Here is a 25,752-nt window from a genome sequence, read left to right as displayed (position 1 = left end):
GGGTGTGGTGGTGCACACCTGTAGTCCCAGCAACTCTGGCAGGCTGAGGCAGGAGAATCGCTTGAACTCAGGAGGTGGAGGTTGCAGTGAGCCGAGATTACGCGACTACACTCCAGCCTGGAGACAAAGTAAGACTCCATCTCAGGAAAAAAAAATTTTAAATTAAAAAGTTCTAGTATCTAAAATGAGCAAAATCGCCAGGCGCGGTGGGTCACACTTGTAATCCCAGCACTTTGGGATGCAGAAGTGGGTGGACCATCCGAAGTCAGAGGTTGAGACCAGCCTGCAGTGAGCCGAGATTGCACCACTGCACTCCAGCCTGGGAGACAGAGTGAGACTCCATTTCAAAAAAAGAATTAGCCAAGCGTGGTAGCATGCACCTGTAGTCCTAGCTACCGGGGAGGCTGACGGGGAAGGATTCCTTGAGCCCGAAGGTCAAGGCTGCAGTGAGCCTTGTTTGCACCACCTCACTCCAACCTGGGCAAGACCCCATCTCAAAAAAGAAAAAAAACCCACAAAAACAAAAAACAAAACAGAACAGAACAGCATCACTTCCTTATCATTAGTTTGAAGGAAGTGAATTGCCTGTAAAAGTTTCCATTTTCAAAAAAAGTGTTAAAATATAGTGTAAAGCCAGGCACGATGGCTCATTCCTGTAATCTCAGCACTTTGGGAGGCTGAAATGGATTGCCCCTGGAGGTCGAGGCTGCAGCTGAGCGATTCTCCCGCCTAAGCCCGGCAAGTTGCGGAGACTACAAGCGCGTGCCACCATGTCCAGCTAATTTTTTGTATTTTTGTAGAGAAAGGGTTCCACCATGTTGCCCAAACTAGTCTGGAATTCCTGAGCTCAAGTGATCCACCCACTTCCGCCTCCGCCTCCCAAAATGCTGGGATTAAAGGCGTGAGCCACCGGGCCTGGCCCAATTACTTTCTTCAGTCTGAGCATGAGTGCTGGAAGAAAAGCTCTCACTTGCATATAATTTTTTAGAGACAGAGTCTCCCTCTGTTACACAGGCTGGAGTGCAATGGCGCAATCTCAGCGCATTGTAACATCAACCTCCAGTGCTCGATCGCTTATATAATCTCAGCTCACTGTAATCTCAACCTCCCGGGCTCGATCGCATATATATACACACATATATTTGTTTGTTTAGACGGAGTCTTGGTCTGTTGCCCAGGCTGGAGTGCAGTGGCGCGATCTCCGCTCACTGCAACCTCCGCATCCCGGGTTCAAACAATTCTCTGCCTCAGCCTCCCGAGTAGCTGGGATTACAGGCACCTGCCACCACGCCCGACTAATTTTTGTGTTTTTAGTAGAGACGGGGTTTCAGTGAAACCATGCTGGCCAGGCTGGTCTTGAACTCCTGTCCTCGTGATCCACCCGCCTCGACCTCCCAAAGTGCTGGGATTACAGGTGTGGGCCACCTCGCCCAGCCGACTGCTTATATTTTTAAAAAGATGTTTTCTTCATTTCCTAGCCCCTTCTACCCCGCTACAAGTTTCAAAGACTTAATGCTATTACAAAGGACCGTCAGAGGTCAAGCTCAGGGGTGCAACTCCCTCATGCCGGGCAGCCTCAGGGGGCCGACCCTACCCAGGATGAGCGGCGCCAGGTAGCCGGGGACGCTCCCGGGGATCCCCGGGCCCTGGCTGGGGGAGGCGTTGTGGAGCGCACGTACCCAGGCTCAGATGAGGCGAGTGGGCGGCCGGGGCTGCAGCTGGCGCTGGCCATTGAGGAGCTTCTGCGCGACAGTGCGATCGGTTGCACCTTCTGCGACAGGTGCCGGCCGGTTGGCGCGCAGCGCCTGCTAGCGCAGAGTCTGGCCCTTGCTGCGCCCGGCGCCGAAGACCGGGAAGTCGTAAAGCTCCTCCTCGTGGCTTATGTGCGGCGGCGGCCGGGCAGAAGCCTAGCGACACAGAACTGCCAGCTCAGCAGCCGGTTACATCCCGCCCGGCCACCAGTAGGCAGCGTCCGCTCATGCGCGCTCCTGGAAGAACCAGCAGCCCCCACCGCGAGTTCTGATTGGCTCTGCGTGAGTGGTAGTCCCCTGTGACGTCACAAGGGTGCGCCTTCCGTGACGTCACAAGGGCGGGTCTTCGCCGACACCATAGAGGTGGGCCGTTGGCGACGTTAGAGGCGCGGGTGTTCGGCTACATCACTGGGGCGCCATGGTGCCTGGAGCTGGGCAGTTTTCTCATCAGAGTGGGGACTGGTAAGAGTGACCTCCCCGCCAGGTTCTGTGTGTTGCCGGCTGAAGAAGGGTAGCTGAAAAATTCAGACCCAGCACAGTGTTTATGTTGGTCAAAAATAGAAAACTATGTCTGGCGCGGCCGAGGCGGGAGGACCCTTCAGGCCAAGAGCAGCCTAGCAACATGGCGCAACCCCATCTCTGTAGTCCTACCTCAGCCCCCCAGCTACTTGAACCCAAAGGTTCAAGGCTCCAGTGAGCTATGATCCCACCACAGCATTCCAGCCTGCGAGATTGAGGTAAACCCTGTCTAAAAAAATTTAAAAAACTATCCAGGTGTGCAACAGGGAGGGACTGCTAAATAAAACATGAGGCTGGCTGGGCCCTACTGTAATCCCAGCACTTTGGGAGGCCGAGGCGGGAGGATGGATGGCTTGGGCTCAGGAGTTCGAGACCAGCCTGGGCAACATGACGAAACCCCGTCTCTACAAAAGATACAAAAATTAGCCGGGCGCGGTGGACACCTGGCCTAATTTTTGTATTTTTTTCTAGAGATGGGGTCGGGGGGTGCCTCGCTATGTTGCCCGGGCCAGTTTCGAACTCCTGAGTTGAAGCAATCTTCTCACCTTGGCCATCAGAGTTGTCGGGATTACAGGCGTGAGGGACAGCGACCCACCTGGGTTAGGCTACTTAATAACATAAAGTGCTCCGCCAGGCTCAGTGGCTGACACCTGTAATCCCAACACTTTGGGAGGCCGAGGCGGGTGGATCACCTGAGGTCAGGAGTTGGAGACCAGCCTGGCCATGGTGAAACCCAGTCTCTACAAAAAATACAAAAATTAGCTGGCCGTGGTGGCGCATGCCTGTAGTCCCAGCTACCTGGGAGGCTGATAAAGGAGAATTACTTGAACCCGGGAGGCAGAGGTTGCACTGGGCCAAGATCACACCACTGCACCCCAGCCTGGGCGACACAGCGAGACTCCAAAGTTTGACACCAGCCTGGGCAATGTAGTGACACCCTGTCTCTACAAAACAAACAAACAAAAACCCAGGCATAACTGTGTCCACCTGTGGCCCTAGCTAGTTAGGAGACTGAGGCAGGAGGATCACTTGAGGCCAGGAGCTCAAGGCTGCAGTGAGCTATGATAATCCCACTGCTTCCCATCCTGAGCAATAGAATGAAAGCATGTCTCTAGATAGATAGCTAGCTAGATAATTGATACGTAGTTTTGTATCAAATTTTTTCCCTAGATTTGAGCATGTTTTTCTAAAGTAGCATTCAACACATCAGCATTTTACAGTGTTATTATTTGTTAATATGATTATGTTTTTCTGAAATACAGTGTCCTTTACAAAAGCAGTTTTGTCTTTCAAAGCGCATAGATAAGGCCCTCAAGTAAATTTGTCTGATGTTGCCGACCTTGGTACCATTTTGTCCACTTGATTGAAAAGCCAGTCAATAATTTCAGGTCACTGTTGGCCTTAGAAGAAGAGCCCAAAGGCAACAAGCAAAGGCGCTGGTGTCCAGTCGCCTTCTAGAAGCATTTTCACTTTCCCTTAAGGTTTCCCTTGATGAACATAGAAGTACTGTATGTAGAATTGACCCAGTGCTGCCCTGGCAACTTTGTATATTAGGCCAAATTTACATTTCTTAGCTTTATGAGAGGCACCCTGGTAGGCTAGTGGAGTTACACACAAAGTCTGATCTCAGCTGCACTGTCCAGAAATGCAACACGGTCCAATCAAATAACATTCTCTGAGCCTGTTTCTTTAGCTGTGAAAGAAGAATAACATACCCATCTAAAAAGGCAGCTTATTGTATTTGATTGGTCTTTTATTTTCTATGAAACTGTGTTTAACACAGTAATTATTTTCATTTGTGTACTACATTTGTGTTGTGTTTTTGGTTTTAGTTTTGTTTTTGAAATGGAGTCTTTTTTTTAGTGGTTTTTTGTTTTGTTTTGTTTTGTTTTGTTTTTGAGATGGAGTCTTTCTATTGTCACCCAGGCTAGAGTGCAGTGGCGTGATCTCCGCTCACTGCAACCTCCACCTCCCAGGTTCAAGTGGTTCTCCTGCCTCAGCCTCCTGAGAAGCTGGGATTACAGGTGCCCACCACCATGCCCAGCTAATTTTTAAAATATATTTTTAGTAGAGATGGGGTTACAACATGTTGCCCAGGCTGGTCTCAAACTACTGACGTCAAGTGATCCACCCGCTTTGGCTTCCCAAAGTGCTGGGATTATAGGCATGAGCCACCGCGCCTGGCTTGTTTTAAAATAAGGGTTTCTTGGCTAGGCATGGTGGCTCACACCTGTAATCCCAGCACTTTGGGAGGCCAAGGTCAGTGGATCACCTGAGGTCAGGAGTTCGAGACCAGCCTGACCAATATGGAGAAACCCTGTCTCAACTGAAAATACAAAATTAGCCAGGCGTGGTGGTGCATGCCTGTAATCCCAGCTACTCAGGAGGCTGAGGAAGGAGAATTGCTTGAACCCAGGGGGCAGAGATTGCAGTGAGCTGAGATCGCACCATTGCACTCCAGCCTGGGCAATGAGCAAAACTCTGTCTCAAAATAAAAAAAAGATTTCTTAAAATGATATTTTCAGTATTTTATAGATGATGTGTAAGCAGCAAGCTTAATAGGATGTTACCCGACACTTTGCGAGACTGGCAGCTGATTTGATCCAGATGTCTCTAATTCTTTTTTCTTTTTCTTTTTCTGTTTTTTTTTTTTTTTTTTTTGACAGAGCCTTGCTCCGTCCCCCATGCTGGAGTGCAGTGGCAAGATCTCGGCTCACTGCAACCTCCACCTCCCGGGTTCAAGCGATTCTCCTGCCTCAGGCTCCCGAGTAGCTGGGATTACAGGCGCGCGCCACCATGCCCAGCTAATTTTTTGTATTTTTGGTAGAGACAGCATTTCACCATGTTGGCCAGGCTGGTCTCGAACTCCTGACCTTAGGTGATCTGCCTGCCTCGGCTTCCCAAAGTGTTAGGATTACAGGCGTCAGCCACTGTGCCTGGCCCAGATGTCTCTAATTCTAACATGAGATGTATTGCAGGATCATAGCAGAGTGAGTTGCTGATGTATCCAGAAGGAAATGAGCATGGAACACTCACGACAGCTGTCCTGAGAAGTGTGTGTGTGCTGTGCTTGAATATCTCACTGCTCATTTATACACAGGCTTTCTGGTGACTGAGTTAACAGTACCTGTTTCATAAATAATGTAGCCCTCTTTCTTTCTTTCTCTCTCTCTCTCTTTTTTTTTTTTTTTTGAGACAGGGTCTTGCTCTGCTACCCAGGCTGGAGTGCAATGGTGCAGTCTCAGCTCACCGCAACTTCACGCCTGGCTAATTTTTTCTTTTTTTTTTTTTTTGAGACGGAGTTTCGCTGTTTTTGCCCAGGCTGGAGTGCAATGGCACAATCTCGGCTCACCACAATCTTTGCCTTTTGGGTTCAAGGGATTCTCCTGCCTCAGCCTCCCGAGTAGCTGGGATTACAGGCATGTGCCACCACACCTGGCTAATGTTGTAGTTTTAGTAGAGACGGGGTTTCCCTATGTTGGTTAGGCTGGTCTCAAACTCCTGACCTCAGGTGATCTACCCACCTCGGCCTCTCAAAGTGCTGGGATCACAGGCATGAGCCATCACTCCTGGCCTAATTTTTGTATTTTTAGTAGAGAGAGGGTTTCACTCTGTTGGCCAGGCTGGTCTTGAATTCCTGACCTCAAGTTATCTGCCTGCCTCGGCCTCCCAAACTGTTGGAATTATAGGCGTGAACCACCATGCCTGGCCAGCTCTATTTCTTTAAGCCTACATGTTTTGCAAGTATTTGAACATACAATTACTCAGCTTCCCTTGTTTACGCGTGAATTTTGTAGAATCTTAAATATTTTTTCCAATCTAAGCTTTATTTTATCCCGTTTCTTCTATATTTGTATAACTTTAGGCGGCTATCTTCATTGAAAGTTTTTTCTCAAAAGCCTTAAGATAGAACATAGTTCTTGGCAGCAATTTGAAAGTTATTTGAGGAGAAGGGGAGACTTACAATGATGATTCAAATGAAGGAAACTAAAAAGTAATGAAGCAAGGCAGAGGAAAAAGCAGTACTCACTTGAGCACATCCCAAAAGAATAACATTTCAAATGTAACTAGAAAAAAGTATGCTGAAGTTCGCAATACAGAAATAATTATTAATAAGATAGCTTTAAAGCCCTGCTCAGCTTTTGAATGTTGGGAATTGACCCAGAGGTGGCTGTAACCTAAGATGGTTCCTTCAGTAATGACCATTTTTTCTTTTTCAAGATGATGATTATTCCCCACCTTCTAAGAGACAAAGACCAACGAGCCACCACAGCCACCAGTCCCAGAACCCGCCAATGCTGGGGAACGGAAAATGAGGGAGTTCAACTCTGGTAAGTTCTCAGCGAAATCCATGACCTTTTCCTTTATCTTCTGGACTCTCAATGTGACTGATGAAAGTTACCACATGCTCTGCAGGGGGAAATGGTTTAGCATGTGTTACTACATCTTAATCACATCTTTGTAAAGCCAGGAGCATTTTACAAGTCACGTTACAGACATTGTTTAAACATAGTCTGTATTTACCAAAGTATAGGACATTGTATCATCTCATATTAATTAGTTAGTTGGCTCAAAATTAGTGCTAATGACTTAGTAATTCAGTGATTTCTGTTAGCTTTAAAACCTTTATTTCAGAACTATTTCACCTCTTGGTTTTCATTTTTGCGGTGTGTCACTGCCTGCCGGCTGCTAATTTATTAACTCCCAGTGAATCATGTCCTGTGAAGGGACTGAATATTAGTGGCAATTTATGTTGATGATTTGTATTTTGAATAAACAGTTTGAATACATAGAACATTAAGCTTGTATACATTTTGAAAATAGTATTTTAATATTCTACTGTGTCATAGTTACAATGATTGGATATATATTGAATTTATATGTACTTTAAGTTGTTATATGTTTATGGTCTTTAGCATTCTAACGTGCAATTGTATATCTGTTAAGCCTTTTTTTTTTCGAGATTAGACTGATTTATTGAGGCGTCTGTTTGATGCCACATTAAGTGGCCCAGGCTTTGTGTAGGGGTTGAGGTAAAAGCAGGAAGAAGGGTGGTGAGAGGCGGGGCACCAGGGTTAGGTTGGAATACCTGGGGGTGCTCTGAGGCTCCCCAAGTTTCCCTGGTCTTGGCCGGCTGTGCTGCTGGCCTGGGCATCTGATGGGCCTGCAAGGGTGGTCCAGGGGCTAGGGCAGGGACTTTGGAGTCACGCCGTTGGCTTTGAATCCAGACTCCTACACTTGGTAGCTGTGAACTCTCCATGCCTCAGGGACCTGCAGAACTGAGCTCTGTCTGAGCCAGGTTCCATCCAGGCACTGCGCATCCATCCAGAGGGGCACTGCCTCAGGCTGCTCGCTGTTCACTGCCTTCTCAAGCAGACCCTTGTCTCCTTCTAGGCCCTCACAATCCAGTGGAGGAGACGCAACTCATCTGCCTCTGTCCCTCTGGGCACGCCTCATGCCAGGTGCATCTGTGGACAGGGGCCATGCTCCTGGGCTTCCAAAGTTGGAGAAAGCTGCCAGGCTCAGGTGGGTACATCACAGCAGCTGCTGCCCTCTGAACACAGTGACAAAAGAACACTCTGGGCCTGGAGCCCTGGTCTGGGGCATTGGGCAAGGCTGTTGCACTTCTCTGATCCCATTTCCCCATCTGGAAAGTGCGCTGATTGTATCTCCCTGTGGGCACTGAGGGCTCAGTGTTAGTTTGAGAGCCAGCATCTGGGGTTTGGGCTGTAATTCCCCGTCAGCCCCATAGCTGCGGGGAACCAGGGACTTTGTTGGGATTACCCTAGGTATCAGTTTAGCTTCCTGCCCCTGGCTTGGGCTCAGCACCTGAAGTAGTCTAGGGGATAGGTGGTGCTGGTGGGGGCTGGGGCTTTTACCCAGACTGAGGTCACACCCAGAGCCAGAAGTCTTGGTGCCTGCTCTGGGCAAAGGTGCCAGCCTGTGTGACAAGAGCGAAACTCCGTCTCCAAAACAAAAACAAAAAACCTTGCATCGTTTCAAGGGGCTCACACCTCCCTAAGGGCCTGGTAATTGGCTGGCTCTGGCCTGCATCTGGCCCCGAGGGTGTAGGTAACACCCCACCTTACCTGGTTTCTTCCTGCCAGGGCCAATCTTCAGACCTCAGGACTTTACAGCCTATCCCACCTCCCCTCTGGCCAGCCTAGAGCCCTTGTGGGTCCAGCACTTTTTCCAGGCTGTCTCCTGGTTGTCCTTCTGCCTCGAGGCCTGGCTCATGCTGCTCCCCCTCCCACTCTCCAAGACCCACAAGGACCACTCCACACCCAGCTCAGCCCCATCCCCTCAGATAGTCCTTTCTCTTTCCTCAGGTGGCCAGGTGCATATCTTGGTGTGAGGACCTTCGCTGTATCTGGGAATGCCTACTGGTTACCTTGGTAACAGAGAACAAGGCATTTACCTGATATGAGTGTCTTGGTTCACTGTCTACATGGCTAGGGAGGGAATCAATAATAGGCTTTTCACTTGCTGCAAGGGCCGGTTCTCCTGGCCCCATGGCTCTAGGGATGGAGGACGCTGCAGGAGATGCAGCGCTCACTTCCCAGCTGAGGACTGTGGGTCATCTCAGGGCGATTTCACAGTCCCCACATGCCCCACCCCCTCAGCTCTGCAAATACCAAGCAGTGCAGCCTGCCTAGGGGATGATGGGCTCGAGAGTGCCCAGGTAGTGCCCAGAGTGCCCTTGGCAGGCCCCTCACCTGGCTGCTTCCACAGCTCTGTAGCAAGAGTTCTAACCTTTTTTCACCGTGAAGTCTGCTGAGAATAAGCGCTGTGGACTGTTTTCCCAGAAAGGCATGTACATGCTCTCCACACAAAACCTTTCATCGTGGCCAAGCACAGTGGCTCATGTGATCCCAGAACTTTGGGAGGCGGAGCCAGTCGGATCACCTGAGGTCAGGAGTTCAAGACCAGCCTGCCCAACATGGCGAAACCCTGTCTCTACTAAAAATACAAAAAATTAGCCAGGCGTGGTGGCAGCCACCTGTAATCCCAGCTACTCCAGAGGCTGAGGCAGGAGAATCACTTGAACCTGGGAGGCGCAGGTTGTAGTGTGGTGAGATCACGCCACTGCACTCCAGCCTGGGCGACAGGAGCGAAACTCTGTCTCAAAAAACAAAACAAAACAAAACCTTGCATCCTTTCAGGGGGCTCACACCTCCCTAAGGGCCCAGTAATTAAACCCTTTGGGCCTGAGGGCGAGAAACTTTGTCTCAGTTCTTCCCCAAGTGATCAGCCCAGGGGTAAGGAAGGAGAAGCCAGAAAGCAGGACCCATGAGAAGGGCCCCCTCCTGGAGTTTGAGGCCCACTCCCTCCTGCCCCTGCCTCTCCTCTGTCCAGGACTCCTCCCTGCTCTGCCCCACTCCTGGGGCCATAACCATGGGGAGCTGTGGTTTTCTACAGGCCCCTGGGCACAAAGTGGGCAGGCTCACCTGGAGGCGATCAGAGTAACATGGCAGGAAGTGAGGGGGAAAGCCACCCTGGAACTGCGCCTCTCTGCCCCCTGACGTCACTGGCGTGCACTCCTCCCCCCCCTCAGGCAGTGGCATGAGTTCCATGTGAGCGCTGTCCTGCTCCCTCTGCTGCCTCTTTTTTTTCTTGGGGCTGCCATAACACTTTCCCTTCCCCAGCCCTGCCAACCTGGTGGGACATTGGGCTTCCCTCTCACAGGGTCCTGGGGACAGGCCCATCCTTTATCATACCCACAGAGAGACCGTTTTTTTCTTCAGGACCTGGGGAGCAGCCAGGTTCCATGAGTTAAATGCAGATCTGAACCAAGCTGGGATTGGGGTACACACTCTCCTCTACTGAAAAGTAGCTAGGGATTCCAACTAGGTGAGAAGGAGAGTGGGGCAGAGCCAGACCAGACAAGGACTGATCACCTGGAAAAAGCCTGCCATCAAAGGTCTTGGCAAATGCTGGGTGCAGTGGCTCACTCCTGTAATACCAGCACTTTGCGGGGCTGAGACAGGTGGACTGGCAACGTGGCAAAACCGCATCTCTACTAGAAATACAAAGATTAGCTAGGCATGCTCCACTCCTGTCATCCCAGCTACTCAGGAGACTGAGGCAGGAGAATCACTTGAACTGGGGAGGCAGAGGTCGAAGTGAGCCGAGACTGTGCCCCTGCACTCCAGTCTGGGAGACAGAGTGAAACTGGCCTCAAAAAAAAAAAAAAGAATATGGCCTTGGCAGAGAGGGGCCAGCCCAGCAGTGCCTTCCCTTGGGTTTCTCCTGGGTAGGCCTCTGCCATGAGGAGGTGCTTCCTTCTGCCTGTCCATGGCCCACAGCAATGGAATGTCTGTTTCTGGGGGTTGGGTGGGAGAGTGCTGGCAGAACTGGAAACCTTCAGGTGGGGTTTTTTTGTTTTGTTTTGTTTTCGAGGTGGAGCGTCGCTCTGTCACCCAGGCTGGAGTGCAGTGGTGGAATCTCAGTTCACTGCAACCTCCGCCCCCCTGGGTTCAAACAATTCTCCTGTCTCAGCCTCCTGAGTAGCTGAGATTACAGGCATGTGCCACCATGCCCGGCTAGTTTTTGTATTTTTTGTATAGATGGCATTTCACCATGTTGGCTGGGCTGGTCTCGAACTCCTGACCTCAAGTGATCCACCCATCTCGGCCTCCCAAAGTGCTGGGATTACAGGCATGAGCCACTGAGCCCAGCCCCTTCAGGGGGGTTTTGAGGCTTCACTACAATACTAGTTTCCTGTGGCTGCTGCAACAAATTACCACACACTTAGTGACTTAAAACAACCAAAATGTATTCCCTTACAGGTCTGAAGGCCAGAATTCTACAGTAAGTCCTACTGAGTCAAGGTGGGAGCAGGGTCGGTAGCTTCCGAGGCTCTGCGGGAGAATCTGTTTCCTGGCCGTAGAGGTGGCCTGCACTCCTCAGCCTGTGCTGCCCGTCTCGAATGACTGGAGTTTCCTGCTTCTGTCACTACACCTCCCACCCTCTCCATCACCTGCTCTGCTCTTACAAGGATCCGAGTGAGTACATCAACCCCAAAAGCCAAAGACCCTTAACTTCATTATATCTGCAAAGCTCCTTTTGCCATATAAGGTCATGTTCACCAGTTCCCGGGATTAGGATATGGGCATCTTGGGGGCATCAGCCTGCTACAGCTAGGCTGCAAAACTGTTACACCCTCCTGGTGTTTCAATGATTGGGAGAAAAAGGGTTGGCATTTTTTGCTTAGGGGTCCCTCTTAAACTTGCATCTGTAAGGTCGGGGGTCCCTCTTAACCTTGTGTTTTTGTTTTTGTTTTTTTTGAGGTGGAGTCTTGCTCTGTCATCCAGGCTGGCAGTGGTGTGATCTTGGCTCACTGCAATGTCTGCCTCCTGGGTTCAGGTGATTCTCCTGCCTCAGCCTCCTGAGTAGCTGGGACTACAGGCGCCCGCCACCATGCCCTGCTGTTTTGTATTTTTGGTAGGGACGGGGTGGGGGTGGGGCTGGGGAGGGGGGTTTTGGCTATGTTGCCCTGAGCTCAAAGTGATCCACCTGCCTCTGCTGCCAAAGTGCTGGGATTACAGGCCTGCACCACTGCACCCGGCTGCTGTAAAGTCTATTTTCACACAGCTGAGACATGTTTTAGGAAGTTTGCTAAAAGACCCCTGGAGACCGCCTCATTGTGACCTCCCTGTTATTGTGTTTAATTTGATTGAACTTTTCTGCCCTCCTGCTTTTCAGCTTCTCTAATAGTCTCCCATTAAACCAATTCTAAGAACCACCAAGAAGGGGAAATTTTTTCTTGAAAGCAGTAAAATGATATGGACTGTTAGAATGTAAAATATATGACATCAGTCATTATACGTTAGTGCTGCTCTGACATAGGGATGTGTTATTGAGAAGCAACTTTTGCTTGGTTTTCAGAGAAATGGAATCATCGTATCGCTGATCTACGTAAACAAACTGAAGAATTGTCTGAAAGAAAATATGGTATGTCTAAACTGGAAAAGTCTTGTAATCTTATGTTCATGGGCGTTTACACAGTGGAGTTACTGTTCATCATGGGGGTACCGTGGACAAGCCCAGGGCTGCCGGCGAGTCATGCCATCCTTACATGTTTCTCCTTGTAAGGTGCTTTGTAGTGTCTACACACTTTGTTTCTAGATTGCTGCAAAGCTGAGGAAAAGTTGTATTTCTTTAGTTATTAGTTAGCATTTCTTTTAAACTTTCAGTATGGAGATTGGAAATTTATTTACATATTTATTGCAAAGCCCTGGATCTTAGGAATTTCATTGAATTATTTATTTATTTTTTTTGAGACGGAGCCTCACTCTGTCGCCCAGGCTGGAGTGCAGTGGCACGATCTCGGCTCACTGCAACCTCCGCCTCCCGGGTTCAAGCAGTTCTCTGCCTCAGCCTCCCGAGCAGCTAGGATTACAGGCACCAGCCACCACGCCTGGCTGATTTTTGTATTTTTAGTAGAGACGGGGTTTCATGATCTTGGCTAGGCTGGTCTTGAACTGCTGACCTCCTGATCCACTCACCTCAGCCTCCCAAAGTGCTGGGATTATAGGTGTGAGCCACCATGCCTGGCCAAATATTATTTTTTTAAATGAATTGTTTCTCTTAGTCTGCTTTGTTAAATTTGGAATTCATCTGGGCGCGGTGGCTCACACCTGTAATCCCAGCACTTTGGGAGGCCAAGGCAGGCAGATATCTAGGTCGGGAGTTCGAGACCAGCCTGACCAACATGGAGAAACCCCGTCTCTACTAAAAATACAAAATTAGACGGGTGTGGTGGCGCATGTCTGTAATCCCAGCTATTCGGGAGGCCAAGGCAGGAGAATCGCTTGAACCCAGGAGGCAGAGGTTGCAGTGAGGCGAGGTTGGCACCATTGCACTCTAGCCTGGGCAAAAAGAGCAAAACTCCATCTCAAAATAAATAAGTAAATAAATAAAATGTTCAGTACTCACCAAGGTGCCCCTGTTGTCTCTGCTTTTATCTTGATGCATCACTGAATTGATGTTAGATTTCAAATTCATCATTGCCCTGATACTATTCTATCCTGAAGCCACCTTTATATAGTGATGAAAGAAATTAGCGATTTGTTATTATCCTCTCTCTGTTGGTATACATCAAATACTCACCTAAAAAAGAGCAACAACCAGTGGAAAACATGATGTTTTTATTTGGGTGACTATTTACTTGTAACCTACTAGCAAACTATAAAATTGTATGATATGCAGAATTTTAACTGAATTGCTTTAAGTGAACATTTAAACATGATAAACAATATTGATGGTATTTATGTTAATATACTTAAAAGGAACATTTTTCTTCATCATGAGTAATATAACCTACTCCTCAATGAAAACCTAGCACTAAATTTGCTAATGAATTCAATAACATTTCCATAATATTTTTAGTTACATGCTTAAGGTTCTCTTAGTGTTTCTCCCACTTTTTAATAGCTTATGCCTTTTTCACCTTTGGTTTTTTTTTGGTTCATTTTAAAGCAAAAATCTCACAACATGTGATATCTGGAAACACTGTAACCTAGTGGTAAGACCATAGGCCCTGGGGACACAGGCTGGCCACGTCTCTTCTCCTGTCTGAGCTTTAGTATCCTCTTTTGTGGTCATGAGAACTGAAGACCTGTCCCGAAGATTTGATAAGATAGTAAAGTGCTTCACATAATACCAGACATATAAATACACAGTAAATGCTTCCTCCTTATATTTTTATTGATTGATTGATGGAGACAGAATCTTGCTCTCTTGCCCAGGCTGGAATGCAGTGGCGTGATAATGGTTTCTGCAACCTCCACCTCCTGGGTTCAGGCAATTCTCCTGCCTCAGCCTCCTGAGTCGCTGGGATTACAGGTGCCTGCCACCATGCCCAGCTAATTATTGTACTTTTAGTACAGACGGGGTTTTACCATGTTGGCCAGGCTGGTCTCGAACTCCTGACTTCATGATCTGCCTGCCTCGGCCTCCCAAACTGCTGGGATTACAGGTGTGAGCCACTGTGCCCAGCCTGTCTTTTCTCTTCACACCCGCAGTTCATGATGAAATGTTAAATATGTACTAGTGGATATTACTTTGCTGAAATTGCCTAGTGAATATTAAGTATTTATTCTCACCTTTCAGACATGAACTTATGAATTCAACAGGTGAAGATTTACAACTTGATAAATCAACTTTGTCAGGTACGTCTTCAGTCAAGTCAGATTAGAAGATTATGTGAGGTAATTAACACTTAACATTGATTTAATGGTAGCTTCCACATGAAATAGTATGCCTCTAAGTATTAATTATGTCCTAGGACAGGAGAATTCATGTTGTCAAAATTCTCATACTCTCTAGAACAATAAACTCATTTTCTTTTTATTAGTAAATATTGCATTTATGGGTAGACAAAACTGAAAGAACAATATTTGTTCTACTTTTGAGATGCAAGATTCATCTGGCATAATGCATTGAACAGGTTATTATTGAAGTCTACACCAGTCAACTGAATAAGCATTCATCAAATGTCCATGATATGCAGGACATAAGTTTTCTTTTAGAGTATGGAACCATGCATATTATCTTTTAATTAGATGATTTAGTTAGATATGTTTTTAAAGAACTAGAAATATAATTGATTTTCTTGTTTTGGCTCTGGAGTGGAGTGGGGACGAAACAGAATGGATTCACACTGTTTAGATTTACTAAAATGGAAGGATTGCAGCAAGATCATATCCCTAGTCTCCCTATAGCAAATGTCACCTGCTAGCTGTTTTTTTTTTTTTGGAGGTTGAAGTTTTGTTCTGTCACCCACGCTGGAGTGCAGTGGTATGATCTCAGCTCATGGCAAGCTCACCTCCTGGGTTCAAGCAATTCTCCCTGCCTCAGCCTCCTAAGTAGCTGGGATTACAGGCCTCTGCCACCACGCCTGCCTAATTTTTGTATTTGTAGTAGAGTTGGGGTTTCACCATGTTGGCCAGGCTGGCCTTGAACTCCTGACTTCAGGAGATTCACCCGCCTCAGCCTCCCAAAGTGCTTGGGATTATGGGTGTGTCACTGCACTTGGATTTAATGGGATATATCACTACAGACTTCGGTAAACAGAATATTAGCATTTTTGGTGTTCTTTTTATTTTACTCATACTGTTTTTCTTTGGACTCAATCACAATAACAGAATTAAAGATCAAAGTGTAAAAGTTAAAGACCAGTACAGATTCAATAATTATTCTTTTCTACATACTGTGTTTAAATGATATCCCTTTTTCTTTTTGTTCTTATAGCTCGAGCTGTAAAAGCCAAAGGTCCGGTGATGATCCCATACCCTTTTTTCCAGTCTCATGTTGAAGATTTTTATGTAGAAGGCCTTCCCAAAGGAATTTTTTTTTTTTTTTTTTGAGATGGAGTTTTCACTCTTATCGCCCAGGCTGGGGTGCAATGGCGCAACCTTGCTGGTCACTGCAACCTCTGCCTCCTGGGTTCAAGAAATTCTCCTGCCTTAGCCTCCCAAGTCACTGGGATTACAGGTGCCCACCACCACACCAGGCTAATTTTTGTATTTTTAGTGGAGATGCGGTTTCACCATGTTGGCCGGGCCAGTCTCGAACTCCTGACGTCAAGTGATCTTCCCGCCTCGACTCCTGATATCAAGTGATCTTCCCGCCTCGGCCTCCCAGAGTGCTGAGATTACAGACGTGAACCCATGCCTGGCCAGGAATTTTGTTTTTTAGGAAGGCTTTCTACTAATGGAATTCCTGGCCTTGAGAGGATGTTACTTTAGAAGGAAAGGATTTTTTTGTTATTAAAAGGTAAGATTCCTGGATTCTTATTGGACCGTTATCTCTGTTATGAGTAATCCATCTTTAGTCATTCACCACTAGGGTTGTATTTAATTAAGTCTGAGTTATTTTATGGTGATTTTGTTTTGTTTTGTTTTGTTTTTACCGAATTTTGTTCTCATTGCCGTGGCTTGAGGGCAATGACGTGATCTCAGGTCACCACATTCTCTGCCTTCCAGGTTCAAGCAATTCTCCTGCCTCAGCCTCCTTAGTAGCTGGATTTACAGGCATGCGCCACCATGCCTGGCTAATTTTTTGTATTTTTAGTAGAGATGGTGTTTCACCATGTTGACCAGGCTGGTCTAGAACTCCTGACCTTGGGTGATCCACCCGCCTCGGCCTCCCAAAGTGCTGGGATTACAGGCATGAGCCACTGCGCCCAGCCTGGGCCTGCTTCTTTCTCTTTTTCTTTTTTTTTCATTAGCAGCTTAAAATTGGTGCCTTATTCAGACACAAGCAAAAGGACATTAGCCCAGCTTTGGAAATAGGTGAGAGCCCATATATGATTTTCCTAGTTTCTCCTCCCCCTTTGCTTTTTGCTCTCTTGTTAGTATATTAATTGTTTTCACTCTCTGAATCTTTTTTCCCCATTTCTTTGGCAGACATTTTTACTTGTCTTGGAAGAGTAGGTGAAGAGCTGTTTTTAGGACTCTTTGAAAGGGTACAGTATGGGTGACAGTCTTGGCTAATGGTAACATCCAGGGAGCTGGGGTCAGCGTGAGCTGGAATCAGTTCAAATTAGCAAAGCACTGGCACTCAGTGGCAGGAATACAAGTGACTGCAAAGTGTTAAACACATCTGGAAAGGGATACTGACATCATCCTCAGAATCTGTGGGGAGTTCACATAGCCAGTTAAGACCCATTCTTCTTTGACCCTGTAAAGATTCTTTAAAGAATAAATACCCTTAGTGGTTTTCTAGCCAGCTTGCCTGCTCATTTATCTTTGAGGACGACATGCCTTGTGGAGCTCCACAGGCCCCAGAGGGGTATGGATTCTGCATTTAAAAGTGCTGAAGCTGAGAGACTGGGTCTTGGTGGACCCCGAGTGGTCTGTTTCTCCTCTACTCATTGTTCCTTTTTTCCCCAACAGCTGGCATTGCTGTTTAAATGGGTTGTTCTTTGCTGTTTTAAGTTGTTTCATAGTGGTGTGTCAGGATTTGGGTTTTCTTAATACTTTCCAAGCTGGTGACTTGAGTGGTGGTTAGGGAGGAAATGTTTTAGGGCTGTTCTGGAGCTATTGAGGTCAGGTGTCTAGATACTCCCAGCTTGTCTGTTGAGGAGAATGCTGTTCTCATTGTGCTGCCTTTGGTGGTGCTGTGTGTGGCTCTTTAGATGTGGGTGGAGGTGAGCTGGGGGAGTTAATGAGATCTTTTTTAGGTGCTTTTGATAAAGTAGCCTGCACTACAGGATTCACTGTGACTTTTTTCCTTAACCTATGCATTTCTCTCTGCTAGCTTTTGCTGTCTTTCTCATGCCTTTGATTTTCCCAGCTCCTCTTAGTTGAATTAACCTAAGTGCTCTGCTATGGTTTAAATGTGTCCCCCAAAGTTTATGTGCTGGAAACTCAATCCTCAATGCAACAGTTGGGATGTGGGGCCTAATAAAATAGCCTTCATGAATGAGTTAATGTTGTTATTGTGCTAATAGATTAGTAATCACAGAGTGGGCTTATTATAAAACAGAGTTCAGCCCCTTTTGCCCTCTTGCTTTCTTGCACTCTCTTTTCCTTCTGCCTTCTGTAGTGGGATGATGCAGCAAGAAGACCCTTACCAGATGCAGGCCCCTCAACCTTGGACTTCCTAACATCCAGAACTGTTAAGAAATAAAATTTATTCCTTTCCTTTCCTTTTCTTCCTCCTTTCCCTTCTCTTCCCTTTTCTTCCCTTCCCCTCCCTCCCTCTCTCCCTCCCTCCCTCCTTCCCTCCCTTCCTCCTTCCCTCTTTCTCTCTTTCCCTTCCTTCCTTTCCTTCTTTCCCTTCCTTCCTTTCCTTCCCTCCTTCCCTTTTTCCCTCCTTCCCTCCTTCCTTCCTTTTTTCTTTCCTTCCTTTTTTCCTTTTTATAAATTATGCAGTCTGTGGTATTCTTTTATAGAAGCATGAAATGGACAAAGACTCCATTTTCAAGAGCAAGCACTTTTGTAGTTTCTGAGTGAACTATGACTGCAAAGGAAGTTCTATAGGTAGCCTCAGATCCACTACCTAGGAAGCATGCCACCAAGCAGACCTAGGATCTAGGATTTGATCAAGTGCTGGGCAACATGATACCTCTGCAATTTAGCACTTCCCTATATACCTCCAGTTGGCTCAGCCCAATAGGGCTAAAACTACCCCTCATATCCTGGTGTCTCTTGTAGGCAGAAGCCTTGCCTAAACCCTAAGCTGCTTGGCTCACATTCTGTCTTGTGCTTTTTTTGTAGGGGGTTCAAATATACACAAAAGAAATATGTTGAACCTCCATGCACCCAACCCGCAGATTAAGCAGTTACCTCCATTTTTCCAGATTTGTTTCATCTGCTTCAATCTCCCTAAAAATTTATGTTTGTACAGGAAAGACTGAATAAATAGCTAATTCTCCACCCTACCTCTCATCTTAAGTCACTTTTCAGAGTAGTAAGTTAGTGACCTAGTAACCTTCCCTCTAATGACCAGTAGTTTTTTTTTCTGAATACCATTATGAACTCATAGTTTATTGTTTGCATTTGATGTATTTCAGGCCATTGCAGTCTTTATTGTTTTGGATGCTTACATTGTCTCATCTAGGTTAATAATTATCTCTTCAAGTTGACTTTCATGTCTTTTTGACGTGATCCTGTTGGACTTTGATGGCTTCCTTGCTTTCTGGCAAAAAAGATGTTCCAGGATCAATATACTGCACCATACATGGAGTCAGCCGTTTCTCTAGGGAACCTTGATTCCTTTTAGTAGAGAACACAGTTTGAGGTCTTGGACTGAATGACTTTTGTGAACCTCCTCTCCTGAGACTACAGCCTGCATCCCTGCATATAGCCCGTTTGGAGCTCTTGCTGGGCACCAACAGATCTCCTAAAACTGCTATATAGTTCTGCCTCACTCTTACAAAGATTCATCTCTTGAGAGTTTTGTGCTCTACCCCCAGATGTGGTCTTTCTGGTTCTGAAGCTTTTGCTTCAGTCACCCTGAATTTTGCCAGCCCTATGCATGCTATACCTTGGATTGCCAACTTGCCCTCACTGAAGCCAGTTTCTCTGGTTAGAATAGTTGCCCAAACCCATGCCTAATACTCTAGTAAACAAGGTTCTACCTGGGCTTAGGTTAACTTTTGCTCCTTTGGGCCCTGTGTTCTACCAGCATTCCATTTATCTGAAACTCTCCCTCACCTTAAGAACTTATCTGTTCTTTAATGATTTACTGCTGCTTCCTGGGCTCAAAAGAACCCAGTTCAGGAGTTTCTGTTTTAGTTTGAGATCTTATAGGCCTGTCTCATCAGGTTGGTGTCAGCCCAGCTAGGATTAGGCAGAATTGGGTGGGGGCTGTAGTGCATTTTTGGCACAGCATGTACCTGTCTGACTAATTCTCTGTCTTTTCTTTCCTGTTGCAATTCATGGGTCTTAGCATCTTCTGAATGGTGTTTAGTAGGTCATCCTGTTGATTTCCTGCTAGGGAGTAGCATACTCTGGCTCTGTACCATTGGCCAAGGGACTTAAGGATAGATGAAGGGCTGCAGTTTTGTTAAATGGAACAATATGAAGAGATGGCATTGTTAAAAAAAAAAAAAAAGGCTTGGCAGCAGGGCCCATTTGAATGGTTGGTCCTTGGCTCCTTTGTTGATATAGGCAGATCCTTGATGGGAATTTGGAATGATCCCAAATATTGTAGATCACTGGTACATCAAGTCATCCTCAAGGTTGTCTGTGTAACAGTCTTGAATGATATTTTGTCAGTCTTTGGAGATTCTCTGTATAGGGTTTAATCATTTAGTTATTTCAGTTGAGACTGTTTAGTTTCTTTGCAAGGAGATAAGAAATGTGAAAGAGATGCAGATATTAGGGAAAAAAAGTCAGGAGCCTTGTTTCCCCATCCTCTACTTGGGTTCTGGAACTAGACTCATAGGTGAGTAGTGAGGAGCTGGGCCCAAGCACATTAATCCTAGATCTAGCTCTGCTTTGCCCTCGCTCCAGTTCTTGTATCAAATTCACTTCAAGCCACCCAGAGTAGTATGTAGAGGAGTCATTCAGGACCGTGCTCATACTTCATTGTATCAAATGGGAGATCCAGTAATTTATAGCCTATTGTTTCTGGAGCCTGGAGTTGGCTCTGCATAAGATTTGCCGAAGCAAATTTTATTACATTAGAAGAGAACCTAGCTGGCTGCATCCTACACTGGAAGCTTTTAGATGCTAATAAGGAGGTCATGTAAAGGTCACAGAATGACTCTGGAATCCATTCCCCGCCAAGAAAGAATAATGACATTCTATGTTGGCCTCTTTTCATTTCCCTTTGGTTTTGAGTAATAAATTCTCTCCTCACTTCCCAGTCGAACTGTTTGGGAGTCTCTATTCCCTAGAAAGACTCTGGTCACATACCCATCAGATTAAATTAGGTGAAAACTCTTTGGCCTTCATGAATGTTGAAGGATTTCAAAGGGCTAATGGAAATTCTTCTAGAAGTAACTGCAACCTCCGCCTTCCGGGTTCAAGCGATTTTCCTGCCTCAGCCTCCCAAGTAGCTGGGATTACAGGTGTCCACCACCATGCCCAACTAATTTTTGTATTTTTAGTAGAGACGGGGTTTCACCATGTTGGCCAGGCTGATCTAGAACTTTTGACCTCAGGTGATCCGCCCGCCTCAGCCTCCCAAAGTGCTGGGATTACAGGCGTGATCCACCGCGCCCAGTTAAACTTCAGTTTTTCATGTTCCATGCATTGGTCAGGGTCTTAGGGAGTGATTCATTCTAGCAGAACTCCCTGGATTTTAAGGCTGATGTTCCATTTATTAATTGACAAAGGAGGCATATTTCTCCCCTGGTAACCCAAAGATTTAGGTCATTTTCCCAGAGACTCCATTTCCACTGTGAGGGTTCTTGGAAAACTAAGCAGAGGATGAGGAAAAGTCTGTGAACAAGCTTGCTGGTCTCTCCCTGTCCTACAAAAGAGCATACCTCTTCTGTAACCAGAAGGCCCTTTTGATTAGTCAAGGCTGGACAGAGTGAGATTGGGTGTGTGTGTGTGTGTGTGTGTGTGTGTGTGTGTGTGTGTGTTTGTGTGTGTCTTGAGACAGGGTCTCACTCTGTCACCAAGGCTAGAGTGCAGTGGTGAGATCAGAGCTCACTGCAGCTTCCACTTCCTGGGCTCAAGCGATCCTCCTATTTCAGCCTCCAGAGTAGCTGGGACTATACGAATGTTTTACCGCACCCAGTTCATTTTCTAATTTTTTGTAGAGATGAGGTTTCACTGTGTTGCTCAGGCTGGTCTTGAACTCCTGGCCTCACGGAATCCTCCTGCCTTAGTCTCCCAGTGGGCTGGGATTATAGGTATGAGCCACCTCACCTGACCTGCGACGATTTTTCAATGATGTAATTTCTCTTTTACAGAGCCACCTAAGCTGAAGATTCCCTTGAGAACAAGTACTGTCCCTAGTTTCCCAGTGCTGGAATATAGAAAATGGATGGACAAGTAAATCCCACTCAGCACCCATAGTCCAGGCATGGGGACCTCAACACACCTGAGCCCCAGACATCACCTTTCATTGTGAGTAGCTCTGAGATGACACTTCTGCTGTTCCCAATTCCAGCATTAATTGGATTAGATAGTTATTTTATGAAGAATTTTCATATGCCACAATCCTGACCATATCTTCAAGTGAACAGAAAAATTCTATTAAAAAGTCAACCTTCTGTCTCACTGTGTTGCCCAGACTGGAGTGCAGTGGTGCAATTATGGCTCACTGCAGCCTCAACCTCCTGGGCTCAAGCAATCCTCCTGCCTCAGCCTCACAAGTAGCTGGGACTACAGGTGCTTGTCACCACACCTCACTAATTTTCCCATTTGTGTTATATGTGGATTCCACAGGACTGACTTCGAAAACTTGAGTATGCGTGGATTTTGGTATACACAGAAATGGGAGAGCTGGAACTAATCCCCCCATATACCAAGGGACAAATTGTATCTGTTTCTACAATTACACAGTAGGAGACATTATGTTCCATGACAATGGTAATTTTTAATGACAGTTTTTAATTGAGTGAAATTACCATAAAAATAATAATAGTAGCAGCTAATATTTACTGAGCTGTTACTAGGTGCCTATAAATAGCATAGATTTTTAAATTCTCCATAATTCTTCCTTATGTCACTTAACCACTCTATCTTAAATTACTCATGCTTGCCTCAGTAGCACACATACTTTAGTTGGAACAATAGAGAGATTGGCACGGCCTCTGTGAAAGAATGACATGCAAATTTGTGAAGCATTCCATATTTTTTTAAAAAAAGAGAAAAAAATTACTCGCAGATTTTCACTGTGTTTGTGCATATGACCTTTTGTTTAGGTTGAATTATATCCAAAGGTGAAATTTCCAGAAGTGAGATTACTGTGAGTCACAGGGCATGAGCATTCTTATTACCCTCGATGTAAATTGCAAAGCTTTCAGGCATGGTGGCTGTCAGCCTGTAATTCCAGCACTTTGGGAGGCTGAGGTGGGAGGATTGCTTGAGGCCAGGAGTTGGAGGAGGCAGTATAATGAGTCACTGTCTGTATGATTTAAAAAAAATTTCCAAGCTTTATGCTGGAAGGCTTATATACATTTTAAACACCACTAATACTACAAGAAAATGGCCATTTCACTGCACCTTCGCCCACACAGGTATTATAATTTAACAAGTTATTTTCTGTGTGATAAATGAAAGACCTCCTATTATTACTTTGTCACCCATTCTTTTTTCATTTTTGAGACACAGTCTCGCTCTGTCGACCAGGCTGGAGTGCAGTGGTGTGATCTCAGCTCACTGCAACCTGTGCCTCCCAGGTTCAAGCGATTCTCCTGCCTCAGCCTCCTGAGTAGCTGGGATTACAGGCATATGCCACCATGCCTGGTTAATTTTTGTATTTTTAGTAGAAACGTGGTTTCACCATGTTGATCAGGCTGGTCTCGAACTCCTGATCTCGTGATCTACCCGCCTTGGCCTCCCAAAGTGCTTGATTACAGCTGTGAGCCATGTGCCCAGCCTATTTGTCACATATTTTATCTTTCCTTATGTTAGCTTATTAGCTTTATTTCTTTATTGTCCTTTTTTTTTTTTTGAGATGAAGTCTCGCTCTGTCTCCTAGGCTTCAGTGTAGTGGCACAGTCTCAACTCACTGCAGCCTTGACCTCCTAGGCTCAGGTGATCCTTCCACCTCAGTAGTTGGGACTATAGGCACATGCCACTATGCCTGGCCAATTATTTTTATTTTTTTATTTTTACTAGAGAGGAGGTCTTGCTTTGTTTCTTAGGCTGGTCTGGAACTCCTGGCCTCAAGCAATCCCCCCACCACCCCCTCCCAAAGTACTGGTATTATAAGCATGAGCCACCATGCCTGGGGTATCTGTGTCTTTTCCATTTATTTATAGAGTTACTTTGTCTTTTACTAATTCAATGATCTGTTTAATCTTTTATTAAATTATAAAAATGATAAATACTTTTAAATAAGTGAAAAATGTCCTTCACTCTTTAGACCCATAATCTTATCTCAGGAAATAATTGCAGTTGAGAAAATGGGCCATATCCTTCAAGATACGTACATGGTGATTGAACATCACTTCATATTTTCATATTTCGTGGACATTTGTGCCAATACCTATTGATCTATCTTAATCCTTTTTATGGTTGCATAATATTTTATTATATGGATGTATCACAATTTACCAGTACCAGTCAACTGCTGGAGGCATTTAGGCTCCTTCTAATATTTGCTTTGAGCTCTTTATATAATTAAAAATTAACCCCCTCAGCCAGGTGTGGCAGCTCACACCTGTAATCCCAGCATTTTGGAAGGCTGAGGTGAGAGAACTGCCTGAGTGTAGGAGATCACCACCAACCTGGTCAACATAGTGACACTTTGTCTCTACTAAAAATTAAAAAAAAAAATGAGCTACACGTTGCAGTGCACACCTGTAGTCCGAGCTACTGGGGAGGCTAAGACTGGAGGATCACTTGAGTCTAGAAGGTTGAGGCTGCAGTAAGCTATGATCACACCATTGCACTTTAGCTTTGCTAAGAGCAAGACTGCATTTCTTAAACAAAATAAAAATTAGATGGGAATATTGCTCAAGCCCTGGAGGTTGAGGCTGCAGTTAACTGTGATTGCACCACTGCAGTCCAGCCTAGGTGATAGAGCAAGACCCTTTCTCTAAAAATAAAATAAAATAAAAATTAACCTTCTATCATATTTCCCAGTAACACCTTCCCTCCTACATTTCTCCTAGAAGCCCTTAAATTTTGTTTTTCACATATCGTTTAAAACTTTTAAGTGCTGATGTCTGTCTGTGTCATCCCTCTTTTTTTTTTTTTAAATGTCTTTTTGTCACTTCTAGCTGGACCTACCATGAAAGACTTCTGAATCCAGGAAGAGAAACTGACTGGGCAACATGTTATTCAGGTACAAAAAGACTTGGACTGTAACTCAAAAATGATCAAATAATAGTGCATGCATCAAGTGCAATCGGAAGCTCTTCTGGAGAGGGAGAGAAGCTTCCAGTTAAGGTGACATTGAAGCCAAGTCCTGTAAGATAAGGAAGAGTTGTATGAGAGTGGGGAGGGAAGGGGGAGGTGGAGGGATGGGGATTGGGCTGGGATGGGATGGAGTGAGCTGCCCAGGCAGGGAAACCAGCACTATACAGACCTGAACAATGAAGATGGCACATTTTGTTCAGGGAATGGTGAATTAAGTGTGGCAGAAATGCTTTGTAGAGACAGTAATTTGCTTGTATGGAATTTTGCCCAAGAGACCTCATTACAGTTTCTAATTTTTTGATGTTATCATGCATCACTGCCCTTGTCAGATAGTATCATGATCACAATAACATCAAGCATAATATTTCATTGATTCTCACAAAAACAGGTGGGTGCCACAGTTATCCCCATTATATGCACAAAATGATGAAGACTTGGGGTTAATGAGCGATTTGCCCAAGCTCACCTGAATATTAGGACTGAGTCAAATGTTAGTCTGGTCTGACTTTAATGCTTGCCTTGTTCATGAGCACCATGCATTGCCTCTCCTATTAAGTTAAGCAGGTAGACAGGTGAGAGAAGAGCCAGTGTGATATCGGGGGAAATTCACCCCTGATATTTCATGTAGGTTCTTTTCTATTTTCCCTGAGTGTCAGCCAGTCTGAGAAATAAAGGGAAAGAGTACAAAAGAGAGAAATTTTAAAGCTGGATGTCCAGGGGAGACATCACACGTCGGCAGGTTCCGTGATGCCCCCCAAGCCGCAAAACCAACAAGTTTTTATTAGTGATTTTCAAAAGGTGAGGGAGTGTACGAATAGGGTGTGGATCACAGAGATCACATGCTTCACAAGGTAATAAAATATCACAAGGCAAATGGAGGCAGGGCAAGATCACAGGACCACAGGACCGGGGCGAAATTAAAATTGCTAATGAAGTTTCGGGCGCGCATTGTCATTGATAACATCTTATCAGGAGAAAGGGTT

General features: G+C 45.8%; 2 long non-coding RNA genes and 1 pseudogene across 2 annotated transcripts in view, besides 1 other annotated feature; 2 read left to right on the top strand and 1 right to left on the bottom strand.

Moving 5' to 3' along the window:
- Positions 1-1,974, bottom strand: part of LINC01409 (long intergenic non-protein coding RNA 1409) — a 31,268-nt gene extending 29,294 nt beyond the window's left edge. Inside the window, exon 1 of the long non-coding RNA NR_187359.1 lies at positions 1,680-1,974. This is a non-coding gene — a long non-coding RNA (long intergenic non-protein coding RNA 1409). The remainder of the gene's footprint in view (positions 1-1,679) is intronic.
- Positions 1,852-2,421: an enhancer, noted in NCBI's record as "active region_1". NCBI's record gives its function as "activates an Ori minimal core promoter by ATAC-STARR-seq in GM12878 lymphoblastoid cells {active_cell/tissue: GM12878}" and the evidence as "EXISTENCE:reporter gene assay evidence [ECO:0000049][PMID:35858748]".
- LOC100288069 (uncharacterized) overlaps positions 2,138-25,752 on the top strand; it is a 52,876-nt gene continuing 29,261 nt past the window's right edge. The window contains exons 1-9 of the long non-coding RNA NR_168328.1: positions 2,138-2,488; positions 6,492-6,601; positions 7,665-7,796; positions 11,060-11,275; positions 12,159-12,224; positions 14,385-14,443; positions 15,525-16,049; positions 21,649-21,805; positions 24,631-24,695. This is a non-coding gene — a long non-coding RNA (uncharacterized LOC100288069). The remainder of the gene's footprint in view (positions 2,489-6,491; positions 6,602-7,664; positions 7,797-11,059; positions 11,276-12,158; positions 12,225-14,384; positions 14,444-15,524; positions 16,050-21,648; positions 21,806-24,630; positions 24,696-25,752) is intronic.
- RNU6-1199P (RNA, U6 small nuclear 1199, pseudogene) lies at positions 22,436-22,539 on the top strand (annotated as a pseudogene).

The sequence above is a fragment of the Homo sapiens genome, chromosome 1, assembly GCF_000001405.40.
Source record: "Homo sapiens chromosome 1, GRCh38.p14 Primary Assembly".
Classification (NCBI taxonomy): Eukaryota; Metazoa; Chordata; class Mammalia; order Primates; family Hominidae; genus Homo; species Homo sapiens.
Note: the sequence above shows the minus strand (reverse complement) of the source record. Positions and strands in the feature narration are given on the sequence as shown.